This window comes from Homo sapiens, chromosome 9 (genome assembly GCF_000001405.40).
Source record: "Homo sapiens chromosome 9, GRCh38.p14 Primary Assembly".
NCBI classification, from domain to species: Eukaryota; Metazoa; Chordata; class Mammalia; order Primates; family Hominidae; genus Homo; species Homo sapiens.
Window position 1 is genome coordinate 85,873,782 of NC_000009.12, and position 6,414 is coordinate 85,880,195.

Sequence of the window (6,414 nt, forward strand, 5' to 3'; positions counted from 1 at the left end):
CAAGGTCAGGAGATCCAGACCATCCTGGCTAACACGGTGAAACCTGTCTGTATTAAAAATACAAAAAATTAGCCGGGCGTGGTGGTGGGCGCCTGTAGTCCCAGCTACTCGGGAGGCTGAGGCAGGAGAATGGCGTGAACCCGGGAGGTGGAGCTTGCAGTGAGCCAAGATCGCGCCACTGCACTCCAGCCTGAGCAACAGAGTGAGACTCTGTCTCAAAAAAAAAAAAAAAAAACAAAAACAAAACCAGAAAATAAGTTTAATTGGCTCACAGTGCTGCAGGCTATACAAGCATGGCACCAGCATTTCCTCAGCTTCCGGGGAAGCCTCAGGGAGCTTTTTACTCATGGCAGAAGGAAAAGTGGGAGTAGCCATGTCACGTGGCAAAAGCAGGTGCAAGAAAGACAGTGGGGGAGATGCCACACACTTTTAAACAATTCGATCTTGTAAGAATTCGCTTACAATAGTGATGACAGCACCAAGCTATAGGGGACGCACCTCCGTGACTGAAGCACCTCCTACCAGGCCCCACCTTCAACACTGGGGATCGCATCTCAGCATGAGATTTAGAGAGGACAAAATCCAAACTGTATCAAACCCCATCATAAGTTGAAGAGCATCTGTTTTTTGTTTTATTTTATTTATTTATTTATTATTATTATTTTTTTGAAACGGAGTTTCTCTCTTGTTGCCCAGGCTGGAGTGCAATGGCATGATCTCAGCTCACCGCAAACTCCACCTCCCGGGTTCAAGCGATTCTCCTGCCTCAGCCTCCCGAGTAGCTGGGATTACAGGCATGCACCACCACCCCAGCTAATTTTGTACTTTTAGTAGAGACGGGATTTCTCCATGTTGGTCAGGCTGGTCTTGAACTCCCAACCTCAGATGATCCGCCCACCTCGGCCTCCCAAAGTGCTGGGAATGCAGGCATGAGCCACCGCACCCGGCCAAAGAGCATCTGTATTTTAAAGACATTCATAACAATCTCTCTCTCTCTCTAGTTATGCAATCAACTGGATCTCTTATTTTAAGTTCATTTGTTTACATTTTAATTTTACATTTAATTTTATATTATGATTTTTTTTTTTTGAGATGGAGTATTGCTCTTCTTGCCCAGGCTGGAGTGCAATGGCATGATCTCAGCTCACTGCAACCTCCGCCTCCCAGGTTCAAGCTATACTCCTGCCTCAGCCTTCCGAGTAGCTGTGATTATAGGCATGCACAACCACGCCCAGCTAATTTTATTTTTTAAGTAGAGAGGGGGTTTCATCATGTTGGTCAGGCTGGTCTCGAACTCCTGACCTCAGGTGATCCGTCCGCCTCGGCCTCCCAAAATGCTGGAATTACAGGCGTGAGCCACCACGCCCAGCCATATTATGATTATTTTTAAAAATTTATATGCTTCCAAAATCAAATATATAAACAAAATGTGTTTGAAGAAATTAGCTTCTCTCTCTGTCTTCACTGTTCTCTTCCTCCCTATAGGTAACCTATTTTTAAAATTTTAATAGTTTGTCCTTCCATTTTATCGTTAATTTAAAATCACTTCACTAAGCAATTTAAAATAAAATAAATCACTTTGTTTGGTAATAAGAATAATTTTTTTTTTTCGAGACAGAGTTTTGCTCTTGTTGCCCAGGCTGGAGTGCAATGGCACTATCTCGGCTCACCGCAACCTCCACCTCCCGGGTTCAAGCGATTCTCCTGCCTCAGCCTCCTGAGTAGCTAGGATTACAGGCATGTGCCACCACGCCCAGCTAATTTTGTATTTTTAGTAGAGACAGGGTTTCTCCATGTTGATCATGGCTGGTCTCAAACTCCTGACTTCAGGTGATCAGCCTGCCTCGGCCTCCCAAAGTGCTGGGATTACAGGCGTGAGCCACTGCGCCCGGTGGTAATAAGAATAATTTTGTTAAGCTTTACATTTGCCTAGAATTTCACAGTCTACAGAGGTCCTCTTTGATTGACAATTGCATTGTACAAGAAGCTTCCAGAAGAAAATGTACCACTGAGTCTCTGTATGGACCTATTCTCAAGTGAGATGTGATGCTAAAAGATGCACATTCTCCTCTTCTGAAAATTATGAAGACTTAGGAAATTTGTGCTTTTTTGCCTCCAAGTCATCACATAGGGGTATGCATGCCAATGTATTGAGGCAAGCCTACTGAGAAATAAAGGTAGTGCCAGAGGTAGGATAATCAATGCTTCTTTCCAACTGTTATTTGGCTCAGATCCCTCTATTCTTTCTTGGTTCCGCTCCAATAGCTAAATTAAATTAATAGGAATTTTTTTTTTTTTTTTTTGAGACAGAGTCTCGCTCTGTTGCCCAGCCTGGAGTGCAGTGGCGCAATCTCGGCTTACCGCAAGCTCCACCTCCTGGGTTCACGCCATTCTCCTGCCTCAGCCTCCCGAGTAGCTGGGACTATAGGTCCCCACCACCGCACCCGGCTAATTTTTTTTTTTGTATTTTTTTAGTAGAGACAGGGTTTCACTGTGGTCTGGATCTCCTGACCTCGTGATCCTCCCACCTCGGCCTCCCAAAGTGCTGGGATTACAGGCTTGAGCCACCACGCCCGGCCAATTTATAGAAATTTTAAACTCACTTCCACAATGCAGTCCATACAGTTTGGAAAATGATTGCTTGGTGTTGTAGGGGATATGACAAAAGGCAAAGCCCAATGCTTGACTCTAGAAGCTCAGACTCAAGTGGATTTTTAAAAAGACATTTCAACAATCCAAACATTTTTCTTCATTGAAAACAGTCCTACTTTGCATAGAATTTATTTTCTGGAGAGCTTCATCAAATGGAAGTCTTTGAACCAGGGTTTGAGAATAAATTAAAATGCTGTTGCTTTTTTGTCTTCAGATTAATTGTGGAAAAACTGTCTTCTGACTTTAGGATTGTAACCCTGGTTCTAGAAAGAGCTTCAACATTACTATGCAGGGTAAGAGCAATAAGGTAATGTACAGGCAGTCCCTCCAACACAGAATGTTCCTACTGTGAACAGAACCTAGAGGAGAAGAAGCTAAACATACTGTCAGAAAGATTTATGTTGTATTTCCACATAGCAACAACTGTTTTCTCTTTGAGGTTTTTAACTAGACTCTCCAGAGAACCCCCTATAAAACAAAAATGGTTAAAACAGTTTCATGAATGATTAAAAATAAACTCACTAAATAATTTTTTAATTTCACATTTTACTTATAAAATATCATAATTAGGAAAGAAACTTAAGAAAAGGCAAAATGATTTCACTTTTTTTTTTCAATGTTGTTAACTCTAGTAAGTTAAGGGTGCAAAGATCTGTCATTGTAAAACAGGGTTTATGAATAGGAAGATGTTTGTTTGGTGTTTTTAAAGGAGCTCATTGTAAATATACAGTTAAAATTTATGAAGCAAAATTACGCGACCTTGACAACATTTACCTTCAAGCTCTATAAACATAAATAGTGATAATACTAATGCTGTCACTAAACTACAAAATATATTTTGAGTTTAGTGAATTCTTACCTTGTACAAGACAAGGGGTCAGCAAACTATGGCCTGCAGGCTAAATCCAGCCCACTGTCTGGATTTAGGATCTTAAAAAAGTAATGTTCTCATTACTATTCAGTCTCTTCGTAGTCAGCTAATTTATTTTTCTTTTTCTGGCAATTTAAAGAGCTTAACTTTTTGGCTAGCTTTTTTTTTTTTTGAGACTGAGTCTCCCTCTGTCGCCCAGGCTGGAGTGCAGTGGTGCGATCTCAGCTCCCAGCAACCTCCACCTCCCAGGTTCAAGTGATTCTCCTGCCTCCGCCTCCTGAGTAGCTGGGACTACAGGTGCACACTGCCACGCCTGGCTAATTTATTTTTTTATTTTTTATTTTTTTTTAGATGGAGTCTCGCTCTGTTGCCCAGGCTGGAGTGCAGTGGCCCTATCTCAGCTCACTGCAACCTCCGCCTCTTGGGTTCAAGTGATTCTCCTGCCTTAGCCTCCCAAGTAGCTGGGATTATAGGCACACGCAACAGCCACCATGCCTGGCTGATTTTTGTATTTTTAGTAGAGATGGAGTTTCACCATGTTGGCTAGCCTGGTCTTGAACACCTGAACTCAGGTGATTCATTCACCTCGGCCTCCCAAAGTGCTGAGCTTACAGGCATGAGCCACCGTGCCCAGGCTTGTAAAAATATAGTAGAGATGGGGTTTCAACACGTTGGTCAGGCTGGTCTCGAACTCTTGACCTCAAGTGATCCACCCACTCAAAGTGCTGGGATTACAGGCCAGAGCCACTGTGCCTGGCTCTGGCTAACTAACTTTGATATGTATGTAGGACCACATATGCATGGGATCTGGAGTGAGCTTCAGATCCTGCCTATGAATGACTTTACATTTTGAAATGATTGGGGGAAAAAAAATCAAAGGAAGGATAATATTTCATGGCACGTGAAAATTATATATGAGATTCAAATATCAGTGTCTGTAAAGTTTAATTGGAACTTTACCATGCCCATTCATTACCTATTGTCTATTGCTTTTGCACTGTAACAGCAGAATTGAATTGTTGCAGCAGAGACCATATAGCTAACAAATCCTAAGATATTTACTACCTGACCCTTTACAGAAAATGTTTTCCAATCCCTGTACAGGGTTGACTGGTGAGTCAAAACAGACAAGATCCCTTGCTTCATAGAATTTACCAACAAGACATTATCTCACTTTGACCAGGCACGGTGGCTCACGCCTGTAATCCCAGCACTTTGGGAGGCCGAGGCGGGTGGATCACCTAAGGTCAGGAGTTCGAGACCAGCCTGGTTAACATGGTGAAACCCTATCTCTACTAAAAATAAAAATTAAAAAAAAATTGCTGGGCATGATGGCATGTGCCTGTAATCCCAGCTACTTGGGAGGCTAAGGCAGGAGAATCACTTGAAGCCCGGGGGTGGAGGTTGCAGTGAGCCAAGATCAAGCCACTGCACTCCAGTCTGGGCAACAAGAGCGAAAACGGCCTCTCAAAAAAAAAAAAAAAAAAAAAAACATTATTTCACTTAAATCTCATAACAAATCTGGAGGTAAAGGTACAATTTTATTATTATCTTCGTGAGGCAATTGAGGAATGTCATTATTATACCCACAGGCAACTGAGGTACGGAGAGGTTAAAAATCTTGTCAAAATCCACACAGATCACTGAGGGAGGCAGGATCCGCAGCTCACTCCAGACCCCACACATATGTATTCCCACTGATCAGCATTAGCCAGCTAGGAAGTTAAGCTCTTTAAATTACCAAAGGAAAAAAATAGATGCTGACTATGAAAAAAGTGAAATAGTAATAAAGATGTTATGATTTTTCTGACAGTTTTACATTTACAGAAAAATTGAGCAGAGACTACAGAGAGTGCCAATATGTGACCCCAATCTCTGCACACAGTTGCCCCTTTGAGTAATATTTTACATTAATATAGTACTTTTTGTCATGCGAGTCCGTGTGAAGAGACCACCAAACAGGCTTTGTGTCAGCAATAAAACTTTTTAATCACCTGGGTGCAGGCAGGCTGAGTCTGAAAAGAGTCAGCAAAGGGAGATGGGGTGGGGCAGTTTTATAGGATTTGGGTAGGTAGTGGAAAATTACAGTCAAAGGGGGTTATTCTCTGGCTGGCACCGGCAGGGGTCACAAGGTGCTCAGTGGGGGAGCTTCTGAGCCAGGAGAAGGAATTTCACAAGGTAATGTCATCAGTTAAGGCAGGAACCAGCCATTTTCACTTCTTTTGTGATTCTTCACTTGTTTCAGGCCATCTGGATGTATACATGCAGGTCACAGGGGATATGATGGCTTAGCTTGGGCTCAGAGGCCTGACATTCCTGTCTTCTTATATTAATAAGAAAAATAAAACAACATAGTGTTGAAGTGTTGGGGCAGCGAAAATTTTGGGGAGTGGTATGGAGAGATAATGGGAGATGTTTCTCAGGGCTGCTTCGAGCGGGATTAGGGGCGGCGTGGGAACCTAGAGTGGGAGAGATTAAGCTGAAGGAAGCTTTTGTGGTAAGGGGCGATATTGTGGGGTTGTTAAAAGAAGCATTTGTCATATAGAATGATTGGTGATGGCCTGGATGCAGTTTTGTATGAATTGAGAAACTAAACGGAAGACACAAGGTCTGAATAAGAGAAGGAGAAAAACAGGTATTAAAGGGCTAAGAATTAGGAGAACCCAGGACATCCAATTAGAGAGTGCCCAGGAGGGTTCAGCGTAATTACTTGCTTGGTTGGTGAGTTTTTGGGCTTATCCTTGACAGAGTCCTCCTTTTTAAGTTGGAGGCTGAACTTGGTGAGGTGTGTTTTTAAAGACCATTAGTCCATTCTACCTTTTCTGAAGATTGAGGACGGTAAGGGGTATGAAGTTTCCACTGAATACCAAGAGCCTGAAAAACTGCTTGGG

At 42.6% G+C, this 6,414-nt stretch overlaps 1 annotated feature.

Moving 5' to 3' along the window:
- Positions 5,524–6,086: an enhancer, noted in NCBI's record as "OCT4-NANOG-H3K27ac hESC enhancer chr9:88494220-88494782 (GRCh37/hg19 assembly coordinates)". NCBI's record gives its function as "activates a minimal SCP1, AML or CMV promoter by ChIP-STARR-seq in primed H9 embryonic stem cells {active_cell/tissue: H9 hESC(primed)}" and the evidence as "EXISTENCE:reporter gene assay evidence [ECO:0000049][PMID:30033119]".